The sequence below is a fragment of the Homo sapiens genome, chromosome 3 (genome assembly GCF_000001405.40).
Source record: "Homo sapiens chromosome 3, GRCh38.p14 Primary Assembly".
NCBI classification, from domain to species: Eukaryota; Metazoa; Chordata; class Mammalia; order Primates; family Hominidae; genus Homo; species Homo sapiens.
This window is the reverse complement of record NC_000003.12, coordinates 192,205,889-192,232,563: the sequence shown is the minus strand read 5'-3', so window position 1 is coordinate 192,232,563 and position 26,675 is coordinate 192,205,889. Positions and strand designations below refer to the sequence as shown.

General features: G+C 36.7%; 1 protein-coding gene and 1 long non-coding RNA gene across 8 annotated transcripts in view; both read left to right on the top strand.

The window, feature by feature from the left end:
• FGF12 (fibroblast growth factor 12) overlaps positions 1-26,675 on the top strand; it is a 588,152-nt gene that overhangs the window by 494,978 nt on the left and 66,499 nt on the right. The window lies entirely within an intron of this gene.
• Positions 1,028-25,780, top strand: LOC124906320 (uncharacterized). Its single transcript, XR_007096221.1, has 2 exons — positions 1,028-4,097; positions 4,200-25,780. It is a non-coding gene; the product is annotated as an uncharacterized LOC124906320 (long non-coding RNA).

The window sequence follows — 26,675 nt, the reverse complement described above, 5'->3', positions numbered from 1 at the left end:
AAGAAAGTGGAAAAGAAAAATAAATAAATAAATAAATAAATAAATAAATACACGTGCATGGGAGCCCACCATTGATTAATCTTCACTTGCTAGGGTTGACTATGGAATTATACAAATTATGAGAACTCTTTCCTGATATTGTGCATATACATCAATGAATCTGATCTTTTATTAAGAGTTTTCTGTACTCTATTAGAAAAAATAACTTTGGCATACCTAATTAAGCATTTATGACGTGGCTCCTAGAGAGCAAGAAGTATCATAATCATTCCTTCTTTATTTACTATTTTAAAAAGAAAGGAAAGAAAATGACCTGTTGATACAGATTGGTAGAAAACAACAATGAAGATATTTTTAATAGACAAGCTCATTTCCCATTGAAATGTCTTTCACTGTAGTGGGAAAGAGCTACCACATATAGCCTGGGTTTTAATGATATGACATTGTCAATGGGAAGTTACAAGAAAAAAAAAGGTGTATTTGATTTATTACTGAATTCTGGAAGGATTATGGAGCACTTGTCAGAATTTATTTCAAATGAATATTCGTTAAGAATTAATTATCTCTACGTCGTTGAGCAATGAAATGAACGTAGAAGTCCATCAGAGGAATTACCTTTGCATCTCCTAAGTAGCAGGCAGCACTGACTTTGATCTCTGTTTCCTACTGGTCAGTAATTCACATGGTATGAGCTGATTAATCTAGTCGATGGTTTTCTATTAGGTTGGTGCAAAAGTATTGTTTTTTTTTCCTATTGAACGTAGTAACTAAAACTGCAATTACTTTTTTTTTTGGAGACAGAGTCTTGCTGTGTTGCTCAGGCTGGAGTGCAGTGGCACCTTCACGGCTCACTGCAACCTCTGCTTCCTGGGTTCAAGCGATTCTCCTGCCTCAGCCTCCTAAGTAGCTGGGATTACAGGCACCCACCAACACCCCTGGCTAATTTTTGTATTTTTAGTAGAGATGGGGTTTCACCATGTTGTCCAGGCTGGTCTTGAACTCCTAACCTCAAGCAGTCCACCTGCCTCTGCCTCCCACAGTGCTGGGATTACAGGCATGAGCCACTGCACCTGGCCAAAAACTGCAATTACTTTTGCACCAACCTAATAGTTTTATATCCACCTGCTCTTATTTTAACAGCCCTAATTTAAATGCATGAAAATACAAATGTAAAGTGTTTATTTGGAGTTCTACAGAGCACCTCTAATTCAACCTCTTTTCTCGTTGTTGATGTTCTGTGATTCCTGATTTTTAAATTTTAGCTTAGTAAAAAAAAAGGGGGGCCTGTGACCTATCTAAATAGGCATTTTCAGATTTTCCATGCATTTTAAGGTTTGTTCAGCATGACTGAAACCTGCATCAATAATATATCAACAATATTTAAAATACAGAGAAGAATTCGGAACTCTGTCAGAGATATTTCCAAGGCCAGAGAGGATGGTATAGGTTTTCCCTTAACAGATAAAATTAATCAAGGACATTTTTACAGGTGAACTTTAAGTTTTTCACATTTAATCAAATTTAGCAATGTCTAGAGACTATAAATCTAAACTAATTCAAGTGCTTAAAAATTAGAAAGGTAAATGATTTTCTTAAGTAGGTCATCATTAGCTTAAAGTGTTTAATTTTATTAAAGCTTTCATTTCTTGTTTTGAAAATTCCAGGACTATGTCTACCATCTATATTTTTCAACTTGATTTCCACAACCTGGGAGATCACAATTGCTGATGCACTATATGAATTTGATTGATCATTCCTTACATTTCAAGGTGTCCTCTAATCCTATTAAAATTATACATGGAGACTGTTACCCTATGACAGTAAAAAATAAAGAGATTAAAAAAAAGAATGATTACTTCCACCTGAAACTCTAGGTTAGTCTGACATTAGATTTCATCAAAATGAAGTGTGGGTGCTCAAGAATATTAGCAACCTTTTGGTTTTTTTCTATTCTGTGAATTGTTATTTCCAGGTGAGTTGGAATTAATGTTTCTGAGAATTTCCTACTCTTAGTTGTGCATCCAAAGCATTTTTTCTCTAATTATTGTCAGATTATGATACTGTCATCACTGTTTCTCAAGGCAGTTTACATATTTATCAGGCACTGAACTAAGTATTTGAAGGCAATCCTTGCCGTCCAGAAATGTGCAGTCTAAAATTTGCTTCAGTGATGCAAAAAACAAATACATCAAGAGTATATGTGTATGCCAAAACAGTTATGTAGAGGAATGCTTAATTAGAATATGAAACAGTAACACCATATATGTATCTGTCTAAATAAGTGCCCATGGATTTGCTGAAGTTTCACATCACATAATTGGGATATCAAAACATTTTTAATATTGAATGATAAAAGTGGATCTTGAAAGTAGTGAAATTACTGCTTTCCATCCAACTTACATGTGAATAAGTCTATTGGCAATATGGGTAAAATGTATATTCTGATTCAGTAAGTGTGGAATGGGGTCTGAGATTCTTTGGATCAGTTCACTTCCTAGGAATGTTGATGCCATTGCGCTGTGACCACAGCTTAAGTAGAAAGATGTTAGGTAATAAGCTCCGTCATATGCATTACACTTTAAAGTTTACAACATCTTTCTCACATAATGTATCATCCATTTTTACAACAATTATGTAAAGCATGAAAAGTAAGTTGTTTATTTTACAGATGAGAAAACTAAAGTGAATGTGACAATTTCAAGCTTTTCAGGTGTATGAACCTCTAATTAGTAAACATAGTGCAAGAGCTTTGTTTTTCGGATTCCATGAGTAGATCGCTTTCATTTACATAATGTTCCAAAGCTGTATAGGAATAGCATGTAGTTCAGCTAGTTTATTTTCCATGACCATTCAAATTACTTACAATAGCCATTTATAAATTGCTCATAGAAATATACATTTACCTCATTTTAAACTACATAACATGGATCTTCTTAGTCTCCAGGATCTGTAATTAATTTTCAAAATGTTGTATTGTATCACTTAATAGTGATAGTTGACCTCTAACCTGGTAGCAGTACTCTAAAAAACAATTTTAGAGTTTCTGAAAAATAAAAATCTGCAATGATCAACACACACTTGATTAGCCAATAGTAGGTTATGAGGTTTTAGAGAAACACAGGGGCCAGAATACCTGCATCTAAATTTTAGCTCTTCCACTTTCCCTATGAGAGAAGTCAGTTAAAGGAACAAATGTGAAGGATTCCCACCTATCACTGGAGGAAGATAATCATTTTTCTTTGCTTTTCTCAAATGCTTGTTTTGTACCATTATATAAATAAACATTTTACCAGTATGGCTTGGTAAAATGGAAAGACATTCTTGGGTTCGCATCTTAATTCTTTCATCTATTCCTTCTGTGTGCATAGCCCTCCAAGAACTCAGGTTTTTTTTTTTAAAATTTTATTCACTTAGATCCATAAAATTTATAGTGCATCAGCCATGTCCCAGAAGTTAGACAACTTAGGTTTAGTATAGAATGTCCTTACTCTCAATGAGCTCCAATCATGAGGTGAGGAATCTCACAATATAATAAGCTCTACCATAGCCTGAAATTATCTGATCAACTGTAACATGAGGATTATGCTACATATGTAACTCGGAAAATTATTGTGAGGATTGAATAAGTTAATTTTAAAAAAACGTAATTGAACTCTGTGACTGCAAATGTATTGGCTCTCGTAGTGTCTAGTTTCCCTCTGTTTTTCCTCAGACGCAGTATTAAAAGTTGTACGGAATAATTTCTTAAATCCTGTAACTAAAGCAAGAATGTAAATCAGTGGAGCAAGTGATATTCTTTTATATTCATCTTAATGGTTCTATGCCCTAAGGAAACATGACTTGTGGATTCCTTGAGAATATGACATTCAATTCTGAGTATTGTTTCTTTCCTAAAATAGTGATGATGATTCTGTATTTATCTCTAACACTGTAAAAATGCATCATTTCTCATTCTGAGGGAAAAATCACCCGAGGGCATGGTGATTGTGATAAATTTTCCATTATTTTTAATATCTTGTCTGTGTATACTGTCCAAAGGTGACGCGCCTTGACAAGTTGACATGGAAGCTTTGCTACATAGATAAAACACTGTTGTGGTAAGAGCAAAGTTAGTTACATTTAGCCTATTTACATTTTTATATATCGCTAATATCTGTAATGCAATTGTCATGATTAAATGTGATATGCTTGCTCAACAGAATAAGAGGTCAGGACACAGGGAAGCTGGATTTTTACCACTGTGATGGGTAATGCATGCCTCATGTCATCTATAATCACTTATTTTTTAATTGACAAATAATTTTTTATATGTATGGAGTACAATGTAATGTTTTGATGTGTATGCATTTGTGGAATAATTAAATTAAGCTGATTTGTATATTAACTACCCATATACTTTTTTTTTTGGCGAGAACATTTAAAATCCACTGTTCTAACAATTTTGAATTAAACAACACATTGTTAACTATCGTCACCATGGTGGGCAATAGATCACTAAAACTTATTCCTCCTGTCTGATCAAAACTTTGTTGGCTTTGACCAACATCTCCTCTTTCCTCATCCCCCCATGACTTATCTTTATTTCTTCTAAACAAACAAACTTTTAAAGTAATAGGTCCTCTTGTAGAAAATACAGAAAAGTAGAAAGAGGAAACAAAACATTTTTTTGTTTTGAAAAACATTCCCCTTGCTTCAACTATTTGCAGTTCTCTTTCAATGCTTGTCAATTCTATTTTTTGCTGAAGTTGCTTCTGTTTTGAGCACAAATGGAAAATCATGACTATGTATCATAGAGTTCAATAAGAAGTAATTGACCTGCGTTTGTCAATGATGGTTCGTTGGGAGTGAGTTTCCCTTCCTAGACTATGTTTTGACTTTCAGTCAATTTTTCCTTCAATTTCATATACTTACTAGTTACCTCTTGCTCACTTACTATGGTGTGATAGAAATTTTTTTTCTTTTTTCTTTTTTTTTTTTTTTTTTACTTTAAGTTCTGAGCACTAAATGGAATTTAAGCTTTACCAGGTAGAAGTAAATGTTTTTTCCCTGGTTAAACATTGCTTTCCATATTCCATTAGTCAGATAAAGGGAAATATGAGGAAGCATTTAGGGTACATTTCGGATATTGACTGCTTAATGGTCTACTTCTGGAAAAAGATTGAACTGGCATCCTCATAAAAGCAAAGGAAAGGATATCTCATAAACCAAGGTGAGAGGCACAGGGTACGGAGTTAAGGCTTAAATGTCTGTGCATAAGTACAAGAACTGTGCTTCCTGGGTTTTATTTTTCTTTCTGAGATTGCTGCTAAAGTAGTGATTTTGCTGATAGCAGTATGAGGAAACAGAGTAGTAAGACTTTATAAGATATGATCATTCCTTTATTGTATATGTATGTGTTTAAGTCTGTTTGAGCCGCTGTAACAAAATAGCATAAACTTGGTGGCTTGTAAACAACAGAAATTTATTTGTCACAGTTCTGGAAGCTGGGAGCTCAAGATTAAGGTGCCAGCAGATTCAATGTCTGATGGGGGCCCACTTCCTGGTTCTTGGACGGCCCTTTTGTGCTGCATCCTCCCACGGAAGGAGGGCAAACAAGCTCCTTTGAGAAACCTCTTTTTATCATTATATTCATTTTTTTTAATTGACACACAATATTGAATATATTTACCAAGTGCAACATGATGTTTTGAAGTATATATATATGTATAGTGGAGTGAGTAAATCTAGCTAAGTGACATATATGATTCCTCACATAGCTATCATTTTTGTGGTGATAACATTTAACATTCAGTCTCTTGGCATTTTTCTAGTATACGATATGTTGTAGTTAAGTATATTCACCATGTTGTACATTAGATCTCTCCAACCTCTTTTCTAAGGACACTAATCCCACTCAGGAGTGTTCTGCCCTCATGACCTAATCACCTTGCAAAGGTTCCACTTCCTGTTACCATCACCTTAGGGGTTAGGATTTAAGCATAAGAATTTGAGGGGGACACAAAACTTCAGACCATAGCAGTATGTGTGTATGTATATATGTGGGTTTTGTGTGTGCATTATACATAGATGTGTGCTTACTTATTAATGGCTGCAGTAATGGCATTTTATGTTGTCTTTGCAACACACACAATTCTGCCTTATTCTTATTTTAAGGATCTCAGCATGTTCATGTTTCAAATGGAGATTGCTACATACAAAATTTAAAGGATACTGTGTTTTGAAAAAAATAGTTTGCTTTTTTACTGGGCATTCAGGCATAGAGTACCGATACTATGTGACATATTATGGTAATCATGCATGAAACAAAGATATTCAAAAAATGCCCTAAGCCATGGGGAAAAAAGCATACCAGGACTTCAAAAGAGCAATGGTTCACTTAGTCTTGGGTATAGGACGCATGAAGAGAGGCTATAGAAGAATGGGTCTCATATACCAAGTCAGGAAATTTAGGGTTTTGTTTTTTTGCAGGTGGTGAGGAGCTATTGGAGACTTCAGTGTGTTTTAACATATTCAGAAGGTTGTGCATTCATCACCAGTATCTAATTTCAGAAGGTTTTCATCACCCCCAAAATAAATCCCATACCCACTACCAGTCACTTCCTATTCCATCCTTCCCCCAGCCCCTGGCAGCCATCAGTTTACTATCTGTCTGTATGGATTTGTCTATTTTGCACATTTCACGTAAGTAGAATCATACAATATGTAGCCTTTTATGGCTGGCTTCTTTTACTTAGCATGTTTTCAAGGTTCATCCATGTTATAACATGTGTCCACGTGTCCTTTTTATGACCGAAAATATTCCATTGTAGGAAGAGATCACATTTTATTCATTAATTAGTTGATGGACATTTCAGTTGTTTTTACTTTTTCACTGTTATGAATTATGCTGCTATGAATATTAACATTTGTTTATACATTTTGTGTAGATACATGTTTTTAATTATCTTATATATATATAAAGTAGGAGTAGAAGTGTTGGTAATGTGGTAACCTGTTTAACTTTAGGAATTACCAAACTGTTTTCCAATGTGGCTGCACATTTATATATTCCCATCAACAACATATGATGATTTCAGTGTTTTTACATCCTCATTGGAGGCTTATAAGGAGTTTTAAGATTATAATTATGCATTAAGAATGTATGTGTGGTAGCAAGAGTAGGATTGATTAGCATGAGGGAGAGAATGGAGATGGAAAAATCAAAGACGAGATGATTATAAAAGTCAGGCAAGGGATGGTGGGGCAGAGAATGACGATGGAATAGAGGAGAAATATGCAAAATATTGAGTGCAGAGCGATGATGGCTAGTGAGCAGGAGGATGAGCATACTGAGGTTTTGAGATTGAAGGGTCATTAAGAGAAGCAACAATAATTTCAAGGTTTAAGTTAAATTCAGCTTGGGATACAGACTTGCTGGCAGAATATCCAGGGGGAGATGTTAAGTGGCTAATGATACTTTTTTTAATGTGAAATTTCAGCCTTGAAGTTGTGGCAAGTCTTCATTTTCTCTGACTTGTGTTTGTGTAAATGTGGCCTGTAGTAAGGATGGGCAAGGCAGGTGCTGGTAAGAAATGCTAAGTCCTGGGGCCTCTCTCACATGTATTACGTCAGAATTCCGGGTATGGTATCAGGAATTTCTATTTTAACAAGTAGTTCAGCTGATTCATTTACATACTGGACTTTTAAAACTACTGCTGTAACCTACTAGCGTAAGAAGAGGTCACTGCAAGAATCTCAGTGGCAATGGCAACTCGAACTACTCTGAGGATTATGTACAGTTGAGAACATTCAGTTTCGAGTTTTATTGACATCATGCCAGACACTTCACACTTTTTCTTTCCTTTTATTCTAACTAATTTTCTGAGGTAGGACTATGATAATCCTCATTATAAAAATGAAAACATTGAGCCTTGGAGAGTTTTTCTTTTAAGAGTGACTCAATGGCAGACCTAAGAAGAAATTTAAGAATAAGTTGAGGAAGAAAAGCCCAAATTAAAAAAAAAGTAGCTATGAACTGATATTTACTTGTTAACCATTTCTTTTCCTAGTCCCAGAACAGATTTTTCTATAATAAAATGGCAGATCTAAGAGATGCAGAATTGAGATTTGAACACTAAAATGTCTTTTCACTTTATCAAGCCATATTGGTATAATTTTTATTTACTATATAAAACAAGGATTGGCTAGAGAAAAGGAAAAAGAAATGTTATCTTCTTCCAGTTTTGTGTAGGAAATCCTTCACGTTTGTTTTCGAAGGACTGGAGTAGAAAGTATTTAAATAAATGGAATTGTATGTCATTATCATCATCATCATCACCACTATCATCATAATACAGAAAGCGTTCTCCAGCACCGTTTTGCTGAGCTGTGAGTGCTCTGCACCTTGCAAATATAGAAATGCTGTATCAGTTTGTCTAGTAGTAATAATGGATTTTGTAATTGGATTTCAGAAAACACTGCAACAACTCTCCAGGTATCTTACAAAATCCCTACCCTGAGGCAATCTCTCAGTGGTAGTATTAGATTTGGGCAGTAGCCAAGGTGACCTTGATTTTGCTGCTAACAAAGCTGCTGAGGCTTGCAGAATTATCACAACTCACTCTATACACTTTGTCTTTCTTCTTTTTATGGGCTATGGGGAAGTGCCTTCTTGGTGTAATTTATTACATTAGGCAGGAGAGTTTGCGGAAACAAGTATTTTTGTCAATTTAGTCATAGTGAATGATATAATAATATCATTATATTGTTTAGTAGTGAATATTTTAAAGAATATGTTACCATTTATATTTTTTCAATTAGATTATACATTTATAGCTCCCCAAGGGCACTGACTATCCTAGTACAGTTTTATATTTCTCAATACATTCTGCATATACCTGTAATAGACAGTTACGGCAAACATAATTTATCATCCGAGCCTGGATAATTTTCAAGTGAAATGAGATACCGTGAATAATTTTGCCAGAACCATAGGCATAAACTGGAAATATACCAGACAAACTGGATGTATGGTCACCATCATTAATGAATGCTAAAAAGGCATAACATTATTTCCATATTATCTGAGGAGCCACGGAGTAAGATCTCATGATCTGGATTATAGCTGATAATAGAAATAATTGCCCTTTATTCATTATTATATCTTTAGCTTTTATTTTATTTCAGGAACAACTCAGTGGCAGACATAAAAAGAAATTGAAGAATAATGTGAGGAAGAAAAACTCAAATGTGACAGTAGCTATGCACTGATATTTACTTGTTAACCATTTCTTTTTGCCATTCCCAAAATAGACTTTTCTAAAATGGTATTCTGCTTCAGTTAGAGGGCTTTGTGTTGTTTTTAAGTGTAGTCACTGTAAGTTTCCTAGGTAACCTGTAATATTCAGTGTTCAGGCGCCTCTAGTAAGTAAAATGTGTTGAAGGTACATAGCTAAAAGAAAAGAGTTTTAATTTAGGCATTTGCAAGATCCCTTTCATGTGATTTTATTTGCTTTGAAAATATTAATAATTTTAAATTCACTTTACTAAGTTATATCTAACCTTGGGTAAAGTATGGGCAGAGGTGCAGTGCGGAATACGTGCAACTGAAGAGGAAGGACATGAAACGTGGGGGAGTTTCTCAACTGCATCCTGATGGAGACACTGAGTCTTAATTCAACACTCATTTCTCAGAATTCTAATGAACAGTTGTTTTTGCAGAATAAGTAATGAAAGTGTGCTGAGTTTCATCCTGCATTTACAAAGAGCCAGGATGAGCACTCGGTTTGGTGAAACTCATGGCCATATTTTTTGATGGAATAGATTTACCATTCCCCAGCCTGTTGTATCGGGTTAACTTGATAGATATCAGTCAGTATATTCTTAAGATTAATTTGGAATTTTTCCCTTTTTCACACACAATAAAAGTATCATGTATTGATACAGCCTGTTTCCCAGACACTCTTATTATCTTTGAGTGTGGAGGAGAGACATATTTTCACAATTCAATTGGTATCTGCCAACTGAGCTTCCTAAAGAACACCACACTAGAGCAAGGTGAAATCTGATGTGCAAGAAAAATACTAATTATTATTCTTTCCTTTTGAGTTTCCAGATGCTAACATTTTAACAATGAAAAAATTAATCTGGAATCCAATAATCATGTTCGGGAGTTTACAGAATTTTTCAGAATAGAAGTAAAGGTGTCTGATATGGAAACTGATTTTCCTCTGGACATTCTAAGGACATGTTACAGCCGAAGAACCTTATTTGAGTCTCTTCAATAGAGTCTCTTCAATAGAGTCGGCTGTTAAGAATGCTGTATTTCAGCGTTCTTTGTTGAACCTAAGAGAATAAGAAACCTGGCTTTCATCCATCTCTTTTCACCTACTCAGCACTAAGTACTCATTCCCATGTTCATGGCCTTATCAGGATGACCCCACCAAGTTTTACAGTCTCGTCTCCCACTTCTTGCCCCATTTACTTGTATTCTCTCTAGATTTGATTTATGGATAGTATCTGAATACATGTCACACCTGTCATGTTCTCTGTTCCTGTGGCTTCCTCTTCATACCACACCTTTCCTGGTAAAAATGTAATTTGAATTATAAGGCAAATCTCTATCAAATGTTTCTCTATTTCTTTTGCTAATCTATTTTTTGTTTGTTTTTGTTTATATTTTGCTTCTTCGAATCCTCACACCATATAACCTTGGTGGTATTTATATCATGATCATTTTATACTTGTTATATTCTACCTTTACACTGCCAGTCATAACTAGAGACAGGATTGTATCTTAAATATTTTCGTGATATTTTCTTCTATATTTTATACTTCAGTAAATCTTTGTTGACCTGAATTACATTTTACTTTTAGATGTCCAAGACTTGAACTATATTTCTTTCTTTATATTACCCATGCATATTGTTCTCTTGATTTGCCCCAGCTTTAAGCCTTCCTAAGTCACTTCGTCCAAAATGTAGATATTTAAAGGACTATTTATGATGTTCTAAAGGTCCAAGCAGTTGGTTATTCATGATGGCTATCTCTTCCTCCCTCCAGCACCACTGGTGTTTATTAACGTACCTTAGTATAAAGATACTGATCACATCCCTGCGCTGTCATGGTGCTTACAGGTATAATAGTGTCTCTCATTTGAGTAAGGCCTTATTAAATTCTAATTAGTACTACGTATGCATAGCATTTTAACCTAGTTACCATTTTTCCATTGGCTGATCTGTCAGATTAATGGCTTGCATATAAGAGCCTAAGAGAATGTGCAGAATTTGTGGCTTTAAGGTGAGAAGGCTCCGGAACATGAAGAACACTTAAAATAAAAAGAAATACCAATCATGTATGAATGTGTGTGTGGGTTAGCCTTGTGAGGCTTTGTCAAACAGAAAAGGTCACCCAACTCTAGCAAAGAGGAAATTGGAGAATTGTGTGTTTTGAGTAAAATCCAAGCAGCACCAAAGGTAGGCAAGCTGCCATGTTTGGCTGAGACCCAGTCTTATCTTGTTACCAGTACTCTTCCCTTTAAACCATCCTCTCATGGAGTCACACAAATACATTAACTCACCTCTTTGTCATTCAGATGGTTGGTGCAAGATGCTTTTAAGATACAATATTTGGAGGATTTATTTGTGTCTCATTTCATCTAATAAAGAGAGTAATAATAGAGGAATTGCCTTGAAGATGGAAAGGAGAGGATTCACAGATTATCATCTTCAGTAGACTATTGGAATATTTAACATCATGTTTCCATTTGTTCAAAAATCCTTCAAAGAAACTTTTAAAAAACATATTTATACCCCCAAATTTCTAAGGCTTCTTTTCAATGAACCAATATTTACCAGTCATATAGAGCTTAGCACAGTTCTTATCTTATAGAAGTCAGTTATTATTTTTTTGGTTAACCAACTAGATGGATGATAGTTCGTAACTGACAACTAATATGTTGTCTGTGTGTGCATGTTATCTCAGTATGTCGAGTGATGTATGAGAGGCGGAATAAAAACCTAAGGTAGTACAGAGTGGATCAAAACTACTTAAGATTTGATGGATCAAGGAAGGCTTCAGAAGGAAATGGTGTTTGGGACAATTATAGTGTGAGGAGAATTTGGAGGAGATGGTAACAGAAGACAAAGTTTGGTCAATCCAAGTGGAATGAAAGCATAAGTTGAAACATAAAGTTAAAAGTCAATATGGAGTAGGAAAGTTTAGGCAATAGTAAATTATTTAGAGTTTAAAGTTAATAGGGAAGTAGAATGGTGAAGGAGAAGTGTAGAAATGCAAGGAGGAGCCAGGTCATGGAGGGTCTTTGATGCTAGGTGGAGTAGACTGAATATATTCAATGGCAAGTCACTGAAGAATTCTAAACTGAATGAGTTTATGACTTGGCTTGCATTCAGGAAGACAAAACTGTCAACAGTATATATGAGGAACTGGAGTGAGTAGGTACTAGAGGCAGGGAAGCCAGAAACAGATTCAATTGTCAAGATAAGAAGTAATGAGGGCCTGGACTGGAACAATGGCAGTAGGACTATAAGGAAAAAAAAATGATTGTAATATTAAGAGGGTTGAATTAGCACTGGAAAAGAAAACAATGCCTGAAGCTTGGTTGGTGTCTTTTTGTCATAATCAGAAAGAGGAATTTCAAAAGAAAAATTAGGTCTGGGAAAATGAGAATGAACTCAGTTAGAGGATCTTCAAATACAAACACAGCTATAGGTAAGTCAGTTAACTGAGTGAAAACAATAACTATAAGCAATAACTAATAGAGATGTGCAGGGTCTACATAGTGCAGTGGTTCTCAAATGTGAGTGTGAGTCAGAATCACATGCACATTTATGGAACACTTGTTCAAACACAGATTCCTGAGTCTCACCCCAGAATTTCTGATCGTGTAGGTCTTGATATGGCCTGATAATTTGCATTTCTCACATATTCCCAGGTGATGTTGGTGCTGTTAGTCAACCACTTTGGGAATTTATGCTACTGTAGCCCAGCTCACTGTAGCATGAGGCACATGAGAATCATCTGAGGAGCTTAAAGGAAGCATACCAATACCTGGGTTCAAACCACATCTATTATATTAAAATATTTCTGGGGGTTTTTCGTGTTTAAGTATCTCAGGTGATCCCACTAGGCAGCCAGGCCAAAAACCACTAGTCAGTTCTTCTGATATTTAAAAATTAAAATGACCTGGCGCAGTGGCTCACATCTGTAATCCCAGCACTTTGGGAGGCCAAGGTGGGTGGATCACTTGAGGTCAGGAGTTCGAGACCAGCCTGGCCAACATGGCGAAAACCCATCTCTACTAAAAATAAAAAAATCAGTCGGGTATGGTGGCAAGTGCCTGTAGTCCTAGCTACTTGGGAGGCTGATGGGGGAGAATTGCTTGAATCTAGGAGTTGGAGGTTGCAGTGAGCCAAGATTGCACCACTGCACTCCAGCCTGGGTGACAGAGCAAGACTCCATCTCAATTTAAAAATAATTAAAAAAAATAAAAATAGATATTTATAAGTAAATGTTTCTAATTTTTATAACATTGCATTTACCAAATAAACAAAGATGTGGACTTCCAAGTTTGCCAACCCAGCTACACAACTAGGGCAACATCTAGCTAGGGGTCACAATAGGCAGCCGAAAGGCAGGGTCAGGACCTGGAAGATACATTTGTGTTGTGGTCATAGAGCTAGGTATGTATTTGTAACTTTTTAAATGTGGAGCAAATCTAGCAATCAAATGGAAATTATGAAGTTTGATATTGTCCAAATAAAATGGTTATTTTAAAATGCTCTTCCTCTTTTCCGCCTTGGCTCATTTTTAGTCAAAGTACTTTGTTGTGTATGCAATTGTGAATCATATTGGATTAGTCCATTCTTGCACTGCTGTAAAGAAGTACCTGAGACTGGGTAATTTATAAAGAAAAAGAGCTTTAATTGCCTCACAGTTTTGCAGGCTGTATAGGCTTCTCCTTCTGGGGAGGCCTCAGGAAACTCACAATTATGGTTGACATAGGAAGGGGAAGCAGGTGATAGCCAGAGCAGGAGGAAGAGAGAGACGGGGAGGTGCCACACAATTTTAAACAACCAGATCACATGAGAACTCACTCACTATCATGAGAACAGCACCAAAGGGATAGTATTTAACCATTCATGAGAAACGCACCCGCATGATCCATCACCTCCCAACAAACCCTTCCTCCAACATTGGGGATAACAATTAGACATGAGATTTAGGTGGGGACACAGATCTAAGCCATATCACATATAATCCAGATCAACTGGCCCCAAAAGATGCCAGTATCTCCTTACTTATTTCCCACATGCCACAAATGCCCTGCCACAAGATGAACTCAAATTTAAAGTTCTCCATTTATCTTTATAAATTTCACTTTTTAGATCCATTAATAGAACGTGATTTCCTGACGTAGAAAAGTGACAAGAAGGGCCAGGCGTGGTGGCTGACGCTTGTAATCCCAGCATTTTGGGAGGCCGACGTGGGCCACCTGAGGTTGGGAGTTCGAGGCCAGCCTGACCAACATGGAGAAACCACATCTCTACTAAAAATACAAAACTTAGCTGGGCATGGTGGCACACGTCTGTAATCCCAGCTACTCGGGAGGATGAGGCAGGAGAATTGCTTGAACCCAGGAGGCAGAGGTTGCGGTGAGCCGAGATCATGCCATTGCACTCCAGTCTTGGCAACAAGAGCGAAATTCCATCTAAAAAAAAAAGAAAAGAAAAGAAAAGAAAAAAAGAAAAGTGACAAGAATTAATTAGTATGTCATATATCATGAATTACTGATGGCAGTGATGAGCCCTTGATCCTTTTAAATTAGGATTTTAAAAGAACTAAATGCATGTGTACCGTTACAAAACTATTTAAAGCAAAGCAATTCAGAGAAACATCTTCAAATTTGATTTTATATATTTTTCCTAATAAAATACTAAAGCTTAATTCTAAGTTATTCATAAAACCATTATTGACATGATGGCAAAGAGACTTGGCAGCCATTGAGACCTGCCTGCAGGTGTTTTACAGCTCCATGTGTTTTTATTTTGTTGTCTACGTTCCTCTTTGCTCTCTAATAAAGAGCATTTACCCACAGTAATAGAGTCAAACTCTTGTGCCCACTTCTTCCCCTGGATTAGACCTCTTTGCTTCAGCTTGAATTTGGTTACCGGCTGGTACAAAGTGAAAAGAGTGGAGATTCAAACTGAACCTGAGAAGAATATGGAAAAAGTACTTATTCAGTTTAAAAATAGTAACAACAACAAAAACAACAGCAGACGCTCATATAGCGCTTAAGGTGTTGGGCAGTTTTATGTGCACTGCATGGATTAACTCGTTTTATCCTCAAAACAAGCTTATGAAAGAGGTACCTTCATTATCCCTCTTTTAGGGATGAGGAAACTAAGGCCTTGTGTGGTTAATTGACTTGCACAGTGCCAGAAAGCTAGTTATCGGCTGGGTGGGGATGTGAAGCCAGGTTTATCTGGCTGAAAGCAAATGTTCTTAACCACTGTGCTCTTGCATACTGTATGTATAGCAAGTGCCACTCAGTAAACATGCTTTCCTTGCTGCACAGATTATAAATAAAACAAACACATTAGAAACATCAAGTTTCCTGATTCGATTAATTCATCTTCTCACATCCTTAATATTCAATTATTAAGATGCTTACCAGTACAAAGAAAAAATTGTTGTGAAATAAAGTGATAAGAGTTGGAAACCAGAGTTTAAGCCCGTGTTTGCTCCACACTCTCTGTAGATTAAACAGATATTGCATTTCTCTGGGCCTCAGTTTTCTCACCTGAAAATGGTAGTTTTAAAGATTATTTTCAGCTCCACAATTTTGTGAATTAAACTTGATTTCTGAGATAAAATGAAAAAGGAATGAGAGAACTATTTAGAGATTGTTTTCTACCCTGCTATTGCCTACCAAATCCTACCAAATGTCAATAATTTTCTTTTTATAAATCTTTTATAGAAGTTTCTGATTATGTAGCATTTTAAAGGTATTGTTTATTACACGTTATAAAAAATTTTATATAAAGGGAAACCAAGTTTTTTAGCACATACAAATTTTATGATATGTATTTCATTTGATGGAACGATGTGCAAATTCATTTACTTTCCATGCAAGAGTGATCTTGTTTTGATTTCAGACTAAGAGCTGGAAAAATAATTTCCATTTTGTTGTTAAAGACAATGGATAGTAAAACAAGATCTGGGTGGCAGGGAATAACCTCCATTACCAGGGGGTAGATAACAAATGGCTGGATGTGTGACAATGTCCAATTCATAAAATTCTGGTTAACAATAATTTAATAATACTTCTTTGTGCGAGGAGAAAAAATAAAAGAAATAGTCACTTGGAGAAATGTAAATGGGAGGAGATGGTGTTTTTCTGTCATTGAATATAACAATACACTACATTGTCTTTGTAACAATGGTCTGGAAATTGGTTTCAGAGGAAAGTAAATTTTCCTAAATTTACTGTGTTATCTGAGCTCCTTGTGAACTATATTCCTAGGGTCTAGCAAGGTGCCTTGTACATAATAGAAACTCACGTGCTTGTACAATGAATTAATCATGACTATATTCAACATTTTAATACAGATAAGATAGTGGGATGCATAGAGAGGAGGGCAGCAAAGTGAAGAAGGAGGAGTCTTAAAATTAATTCCTGTGAGGAAAGAATAATAAAAAGCTGGACGTTAGATGAGACTTTTAGGGAAACTAGAAAGTTGTTTTTATGTCATTGAAGAATTATATCAAAGAAATGGCTTTGTTTTATATGTCTACCACCAGTAAAAGATTGGCAGAATTTCTTCTACAGGGGAAAAAGGTTTTGGAGGAAATAAGAGAGAGCAGTCTAATCTGTACAGAGATGGCTCTGAGCTATTTGGAGAGACAATGAGAACTTCCTAACAGAAGACCTGCTAGGAGATAATAGGTACAGAGTCGGCAGGAGTGTTGTGGAGAAGCTGTCAGCCTTAAAGTAGTATTGAATTTATGGCTTTTTGGCCTTTAAGACCCATATAACCATTAGCCAAGCACTTACATTTGGGCCCAATGCTACAGATAATGTGTAGTAAGTAAAAATCTTAACTGAAGAAGCACCATTGCTCCAATGAATAATTGCCATGTGAGGTCCATCAATTATAGTGCTAAGGTTTAGCAACCAGCAGTAGTGGTGTGAGGGTAAGAAAGACTTCTTTAAATTGCTGGGTGATGAGTACCAAGTATTTCTCCTCTCTCCCTTCTTCATTGGCTCAGAAAAACAGACTCTGAGACAGAGATTAGTGCAGAGTCTAATGGGCAGGTGGGGGTTATTTGAGAATGAAAATGATATCAACACCTTCGAGGGAAAGCCAGGAAAGGGAAGACAAGGAAACAGGATTCAGCAGAGGGAATTGTGAGTAAGGATGAAGCTTTGATGGGAGAACACAGCCATTCACTCCTGTAGAGAGTTCGGGAAGAGCCGATGACAACGTAAGCATCCTCTGATTTAGGCTGAAGAGGATTGGCCCCTATACCTCCATGTCGATTAGTCATTGTAAGGCAGCTCTCTTAAGCAGATCTGGGGGGAGCTGAAAGCATGAAGAATTTCTTCCAGCAGTTCTCCCAGCAGCTGTGGAATAAATTCATTCCTAAGGAGGCAACTGGGTTACATGTGAGAGTACCTAAAACAATTGTTTTCATGTAACTACATTTAAGTTGACAAATATTATTCTTTACATAATGCAAGTTCCTAAAATCATTCTTCTCCAAACATTCTTATGTGATCAAAGATGTGTGTGCTATTTAGCTTCATCCTAATGTTGATATTTAAGACAGCTGTTGGCCTTGGACTAACAATGCTTATGAGTTGGCATTTTTAACAACTTTTAACATGTCAATTACCAATTTGCCTTCTCCATGCTTATTTCTGCTCGTGGGTAAGTTGCTTCATCATAACAACTGAAACTATGTGGAACACAGGAAAATGTGACTGATCTGGAAGCCAGTTTGTAGTTAGAGCTCCTTTTTTCTACTGTAACACACATATAGACCTATTTGGAGCATCTGATGATGGTGACCTATGTGTCACTTGTCTCTTCTCATTCCACATCTTCTGTTAGCAAAAATATTTGACAGTACCATTACCTCCCCCAGGAGAACATTTGCAAATAAAAAAGTAAAACACACCAAGATTCATGGAAGAAATGTTACTGTGCTTACTCAGAGATTCACTGTTATTATTTCTAGCTTTGGTTCTGGGTTCTCTCATTTATTAAACATGAAATATTGAGAAAATATCTTGCCTTTTCTGGCTCTGAATTTCCTAAGCAGTAAAATGAGTATAACACTGATCTCACGTGGTTATTGTGAAGAATAAACAAAAATGAATTAGTAAATGTAAAACGTGACACACAATCATATAGTTTCTTGGTAAATGTTACAGTTCCCGTCTCTGTCGAAGGAAAAGCATCTTCTAGATTGAGAAATGACCTAATTCAGTTTGGCATTCTAGTAACGAGCGTTATAATATTTGTAAATTACATGGACACACAGGGAGAAAAGTAACAGTTTTTTAAAAAAAAGCCCCTCCCTTTTCTTGACTTGGGTCTTTCATGCCCTGGTACTCCAGGAAGTTCCCCAACCCTGGAATCAGAGCTCACTCACAGTCAAATGCCCACAGCTTCCACAACGGTCAGTGAAACTGAAAGCTGCATTGGAATAAATGGGCCACGAAGATCCAATCTATTGAGAGTCACCACAGCTACATGAAATAAGGAACAATTTGGCTGAATCACAGGCCTGTGAGTAGTGTGAGCTGTGTTCAATCTATCTGTTGAGCCACGGAGAGAGACAGTTCTTATGGTTCTTCAACTCTCTGGAGGATAAACTCCTATAGTGATAGAAACTGTAACTTCCTGAAATGAGGCAGTTAAAATGAAGTAAAATGAGAGCTAGACTGGATCTAAGACTTAGTCTTGCCCCTTCTAAGCTGGGCGATCTCAGATAAGTCACTTGACTTATTTGAAAACTGTATCATCATCACTATAGTGGAAAAATAATACTTACTCTGGAAATGGCTGTGCGAATGAAATGAGATGCATATTTATAAATGAGAAAATAAAATGATATGAGCATTTATCAATTTAAAGAGCTTAATTCATGTCTGGAAATAGTGTTATTGGATTTAGAGTTTCAAACAAGTAGAAGGTGTTCCCTCTTAAAAGGGTAATTCCTATTCTGATTCATCCAGAGCTCCCTACTGACTACAAAAGCAGCTTCCAAAAAAAAGGGAAAAAAAAAAGAATTGGAGACGCTTTCAGATAACCAAGACTTAGAAATAGGCAGATGCTCTCCTTCGCCTTCAGCTGCTCTGGCGCTCGCTTGCTGGGACAATTGTGCTTACAAGGGGGAAGGAAGAGTGACAGCACACAGCGTTTTCTTGCCCAGAAGCGTAAGCACGTTCTGTGAGGAACCTTCTTGTGCAGAACTGTAGACATTGATAAAGATTGGCACATCATAACCTGACAAGTTTTGCTGCAGGAAGAACATGGGACAAAGACCATTGGTACCATTGCACTTCTGGGACTGGCACGAGACAGATAGCTCTGACAAGAGCAGCTGCCACTCCAGACAGGGTGTTTGATTTTTGTGTGTTTCTCTTTATTGTATTACACATCACTGATGCTAACGAGATTGTCTCCACCAAAGCTCAAGGACCAGCTTTTGAAATTATCAACAGAAATTACCAAGTTATCTTTTTATTTCTTTTTTTAACCCCCCCCCCATTTTTGTGAATTTTAATGTTGAGAAGAAAATATGAGAGATTCTCAGTCTCCAGGATGCCACAAAATGAGGCACATTATTTATGACTGTTAAATGACAAATCCTGAAACTGCTTTGAGTCCAGGCAGGATAAAAGGTTTATATTAAATGTGACCTTTGAGTTTAATGGTATCTAGCAGAAACCTTCATTTTGACTGTGCAAATTGTGCTATAAGTTATTAGCCCAGTTTACTGCATTTTCACACAGTGGAGTATAGGGGGCAGACAGACAGCAGCAAATATATATGTATTTCTTTTCACCTACCATCTTCTAAATAACAAGTTATTTAAACTTAACCATTCTTCTCCCCACACCGTTTTACATAACACATTTAATACATTTTTTTTTCCTGAAACTAACTGCCTGAACTAAATCAGAGTTGACGTTTTATGGGAAATCTCTTCCCTACACTGTCCTCAGTTTTCATAGCTGCAAAATGACAGTGTTCGTATTCATTATCAATATATTTGTTTCTAGCTTTAAATCTTCACTATATAACCTTCCTGTTTTTATTGTCTATGAAAGAATAACTGTTAATCATGGCAACAACTCAGCGGTTTGCAGCCAGATAAGTGATTGGAAGAGCAATCAACTTCTCAGAGATTTCAGTATTTAAAGGTAGGCCCTGCTGTGCACGTCTGTATAAGTGACAGTGTTGCAACACAGAGAGGATGCATTTGAAAAAGAAGTTAGGCAAAACAGAAGTTAAATTGCAAATACATGTTGTTCAAGTTGCACAATGGGCTATTTGGGAGAACGCTATAGGCTGTTTAACATTCCTGTGTTTAATGTGGGAGAGACTTCACTTTGTAGCAAGAGTCTAAACTTTCGTGTTTTCCTATTTCTTCTAAAATATGCAATTATGTAGGATTTATTATGTTATTTGAAAGGGAAAGCTATTTTGTATTATGTCTTTTTTAAAGCATTTAAAAATGACCATGCAGCAGATCTAATACCTTCTTTAAAATGTATTGTTAAAATAACAATATTTTACAATATTTTTATGTTTACAAAAAATAAAGGCCAGTCACGGTGGCTCACACCTGTAATCCCAGCACTTTGGGAGGTTGAGGCAGGTGGGTCACCTGAGGTCAGGGGTTCATGACCAGCCTGGCCAACATGATGAAACCCCGTCTCTACTAAAAATACAAAAATTTAGCTAGGCGTGGTGGGGGGCACCTGTAATCCCAGCTACACGGTAGGCTGAGGCAGGAGAACTGCTTGAACCTGGGAGGCGGAGCTTGCAGTGAGCCGAGATTGCGCCGCTGCACTCCAGCCTCGGCCACAAGAGCGAGGGTCCGTCTCAAAAAAATAAACAAATAAATCACAATATTGTGGTATCACACACTAAACCGCCATTGATTTTTTCATGTCCAGGATTGATCTTCTCTTCTACTATGCTCCATCCAAAGTGTTCTCCTTTGTCGTTAATGGCAACTCTACCCTTTTAGTTGCTTAAAAACCACCACAACTCTCAAAAGCATCCTGGATTCTTCTCTTCTTTTATATCCCACATATAATATTTGAACATTGTCATGGCTCTGTTTTTTCAATTATATGCATAATCTGACCATTTCTCACCTTGTCCAGAGTGCCCCTCAAATCCAAGCTTTCAGTCCTTCTCCTCTGGAATACTGTAATATCCTCCTTAGTGGTGGGAATCCACCATTGCACCCTTGGAGCCTAATCCAAACAACAGGAAGAGTATCCTTTCGAGATATGAGACATTATGTCATACCTCTGCTTTAAACCTTGCAATCTCTCCTGTTTTCACAATGGCTTACAGGATCTAACCCATCAATACATCTCTGACTTCTCTCCTGTTGTTCTTCTCGTTGCCTCCAGCCACCCTGGCCTCATCACTGTCTTTGGTCTCATCTACCTTGATGAATTTATGAACTTCTTAAAATTGCCACATTCTTTCTCACAACACCTTACCCCCATTTATATTCTAATAGCACTCATTTCCTCCAATATAATATTTATTACATGACTGTCTCTCTCTTCTACTCTCGTTAGAATATAAGCTCCGCGATGGTAAAGACTTTTATCTCTATTCCTTGCTATATCCGATATGTAGAAATTTAATTTAATTCTATGACAAATACCGAGGTCAAACAGAAGTGCTGCAATTGTCATTTATGTTCAAGTTCATAAAATCCTAGGTTACTGTGTAACTTTCTATTCTTCCATCTCTTTTCTGTGTACTCTATGTTGACTTTCCTAGAATTTTATTAAACTAGTTATACCCTTCTTAGAGCTCCAGCCAAAGCCCCATATATTACCAGGTCTGTCCACCTTTGTGGGGACATGAACTACTCTTGGCTCTGTGTGAGCTCCAAGAATTATCTGGCTTTTTTCTTGTGTATTTTTTTTCTCCCATAGCCTTGGGTAGTTTCCTCTCACACATATGCAGGTCAGTATTCGTCTAAATTACTGACTTCTTTTAATCTGATACACTGACACCCAACTTCTAGCCACCTTGCCTCCCCTGGCTCCCTGAAATCCAGTTTCTGTTTCCTCAGCTCAGTGAATCTCCTTGGCTGTTTGTGTTCTTTCTTTCTGTGCCGCTGTCTAGACATTTCCTTCTGGGGCAATGCTCACTATGTTTTTTTCTCTCAAGGATCACAGTTGTACACTGCATGTTTCCCAACATCTGAAAATCATTGTTTCATATATGGTATAATTTTTGGTTGTTTAAAGTGGGAAGTTAAATCTAGTCACTGTTACTGCACCATGGCAAAAACAGAAGCCCAGTGAAAAACTATGAAAGCTATTTTTTTTATCTTTAATCAAAGGAGCACGTAAGTGAGTCAGGTAGTGAATGGTATACAACATGTGACTAATGTTCACGTGTAGAACCTGCAAGTTATCAATAGGAAAGCAATACATTTTAAGTCAAGAACGTTTGGTTTCTGGCTGTACCAACTGCTGTTGTTTGACCTGAGGCAGATAGCTCAACCTTAATTTCATCATCTGTTTGTATGGGAAATGGAAGTCCTTCTGCTTTATTACAGAGTTACTTCAAAGATTAAATGTGGTCACAGATATAAAAATTCCTATCTCTAAAATCCTGTATCCTATCTCTAAAATCCTGTACTGATGTGAGGGGATATTCTTATTTGCATCATCATTATTTGTGAAGCTAGAAAATTCAGAATGACAAAACACTTCACCTTAATTCATCTTGTGCATGTTTATCCTGATAATTTATGTAGACAAGAATACATTCTCTTTTGATATAACCTGTGTCAGCTAAGATTAATTTTCACTTTAAACAAACTAAAAGTGGTTTAAACAAGGCAGAAGCTTGTTCTATTATAAAAAGGGATCTGAATGTCTACAGTCCATAGCTAGCACAGGATTCCCAGAGGACACTAGGAACCCAGCTTTCTATTTTTCTGTTTTCCCATCCTCATTGATAATTTTCATCACCTCTTGATTCAAGATGGCTGCTGGAATTCTAGCCATTACATCCACATTTCATGATGATGATGAAAATGATGATGATGGTGGTGGTGGTAGTGGCAATAGCTGGAAGAAGTAGGGGAGAAAATGTTTTCCTCTAAGCCAAATCAACTCATTTAAATCAGCTTTTCTGAAAGTCCCATAATATATATTCATTTATATCATATTAGCCTTAATTTAGTCAGATGACTACATATAGCTACAAGGAAGAATGGTAAATATTGTCTAACTTTTTAAGTAATGTAGCCAAGTATAAAAACGTGTGTTGTTATCAAACACATTAGAAAAGAATGAATACTGAAAGACAGTTGTCAGTTTCTGCCACATGCTTTTATCAACAAGGAATTCTCTGAACTAGTTCAACTGAAGGTACTACAAGGAACACTAATACTACACTTTATGCCGAGTGAGACACTTATAGACAGTAGCTAAGTTAGATACCTCTCACGTGGCAACTGAGAAGCATTTGGCTCAAATTGAAATTTGTCTATTTTGAAAAAGTAAATTCACTACAAAGGAGTTGCTCCCAGTAAAGATAGGTCAAAGAATGCTCTGAAAGCATTCCTCAAAGAGGGTTCCCAACAGTGTTTTTTGTTTTAAAATTGAAATTATTCTACATTTATTTGCATTCTGGAAGTGACTCCGTTGATATTAATAATGTATTCTCGTGAAATATCTATTCACAAGAAAATTCAATATAATGAGATTAAAATAGTTTTTCTTTTATAATTTGGTGTATATATATAAAATATCCAAATTACAACATGTTCTTTAATTTATGTAGCAAAGGACATAGTTCATCTGATGAGAAACTGTGGACAGAGAGAAGCACTTAACATAAAACTATGTATGAGATTCAGGCTTAAAGACAATAGAGGTTCTTATTCAGTGGCTAAACAGCTGTATTTCTAGCTATTTCTATTAATCTGACTACTCATATTGTCACACTCCCTACAGTGTTTTGAGTTATGGTGGCTGAAATTTGTGAAATGCATTCTATGGAATATCGTAACAGACATTCTTCTTATTCTAGTTTCTATAAATCACATCGAAGTGCTTTTATAAATCAAATTTCCTTTTTCATTGAAAAATGATAACTTCAAACATTTTATTTTCATCCATGAAGATTTTTAATAAGAACACTTGAAAGTACATCTTTAGGATTTTCTTGACTTTCTCCGCCTCTATCAAGTAGCTAATGAGCTGTAAAGGGATGCCTAAATGCACTAAGAAACTTGCTATTTAGAGGAACTCTGGGATCCTAAAATGAATCCTTTTATGAAGCAGAGAATGTTTCTGCAGTGGAAATAATTACCCTGTAATTTATCTGGCCCTAAGTAGGATTTTCCTCTGCTTAGCTTTGTGAGTGTGGTTTACACTGAGTGTCCTGCAGGCACCTCCACTTCAGCGTGTCTGAAATGGTGGCAGGGAGCCCAGGTAGGAGGCTGTTGCTGTAAGTCTTGACACCAGTTTCTCTCAACTCTAATTCATCAGCCACTCTGATGCCAAGGAAATATTTCCTGAAAAACAAATCCACTCATTTCACTGCCCTGCTAAAAACCTCTGCTGGATCCCCGTTGCAGATCTTCATCCTCTGCTGGATAAATGCCAAGCCCTTTAGCAAAGTATCGATGACCCTTCACATTTTGGCCCTGACTGCTTTTCCAGCAACACTTCCTGGTATTCCCCCTACATGCCATATGCTCTAGCCACACTTCACTTCTCCCCACTCTCCAAATACACTGAACATTTCATACTTCTCTGCATTTGCCTTTGGCTATGCCGGGATCGCTCCGTGTCCAACAACTTTTGTACCTGAAGAATCCCTCCTTCTGCAAAAGCTTCAGCTCAAATATCACTGTTCCAGCATTCCAAGGAAAGTTAGTCATCTGCCTCTTTATTGTCATAGCAATCTGCTCACATCTGAGAGAACTCATTACATTTTATTGTAATTATATGTCTCCACAACTGGCCTTTAAGTTTAGGAGGCATGACATCATAATCTTTTTATGTTGAAGGTTGATAACATTTGGATGTTTACTAAATCCCAGAAACTATATGCTCTACAAATAATATATCATTAAGGACTTTCAATACAATTATGAAGTATTATTTTCGTTTCACTGATGAATGGATGGATATTCAAATGCTAAGGGGCTTTCTCAGGACTAGACTGCCAATAAAGCCTATAGCTTTGATTTGATCCCATTTTCTGATGCCAAAGCCTAGTTATTTTTTTCCCAATATAATATCTTTCCTCCTCAAGACTTAGCACCACGACTGATGTCTAATACATGAAAAAATGTGTGAAATTATGTTCTGCCTAACTCTAAAGTTTACATTCACCCCCAGAGAATAAGATTTCCCACTATTGAGGTCAGTGTGAAGGAAGCTTCAGGGGCAGCTTCCAGGGGGCCCTCCAGGAGGGTTGAGAGTCAGGGCAGTGCTTTAGAGTTGGATACAGACACCCTTTTAATAAAATGTTAAACTGTTAACTTCGTTTTGCTCACCATTTGTTTCAATGACAGCAAGGCAACTTTTGAAGAAATAAAACTTATAGGTAGGGTCCCCATCATCCACCCTATCTTGTCGAAAATATATTTTTTCTTTTTTGAAAAAGTGCCCGAAAATATGAGTGGGTTTTGTTTCAAAATGTGTGATATGGTTTAGAAATATTCATTTACTAATGTAGATTGAGTGCTGTTAAACTGGACTAAAAACCAAAAACACAGAAGTGCATTAATATTTCTTTTGTAATTGAGCAGTCTCAACTTGGTGGATATAAATATGAACCTATTACGCTTTGTTTTGTTCTTCCTGTCATTACTTTTAACTGTACTTTGTCAAATCCAGCTTTCCTGCTTAACAACGTACTGAGTAGATTCTATTATTCTCCAACCACTTGGTCTAATTTAGCAAAAAACTTTAATCTCATATCTGATTTCAGGCTATTGATCTTCCCTTTTGGAGACTAGAGCTATGATCTATGATCCTTTGTTGGGTAGAGTGAAAGAGAAGAGGGTTCTCTGAGATTTCCCCTTCCGTTGCTGCTTCTGGGCCTAGAGCCTTCAGTTTTTCAGGGAAAGGGAAAAGGATGGAAAGGCAGAGATCTCCTTATAAAGGCACATGAAGATAGTGGAGTGATGTCTATGGCATTGCTCTGGATTGGCCTGGTTCTGTCTGCTGCTAAAGCTTCAGGTGATGTAATTGTCTCCATATTAGCAATATGCATGGTTTTCTTGGAGTCATCTTCAACTTCCTGTGACCTTCTCTTGGTGAGGACCCTCTCAGAGAAGGAGCTGTGTCTCTGATTACCCCATCAATGGTGCACAATAGTAACACCTCCTCTGTGTAGAGCACCACATTCTTTGAACTGGACCTTCAATATGCA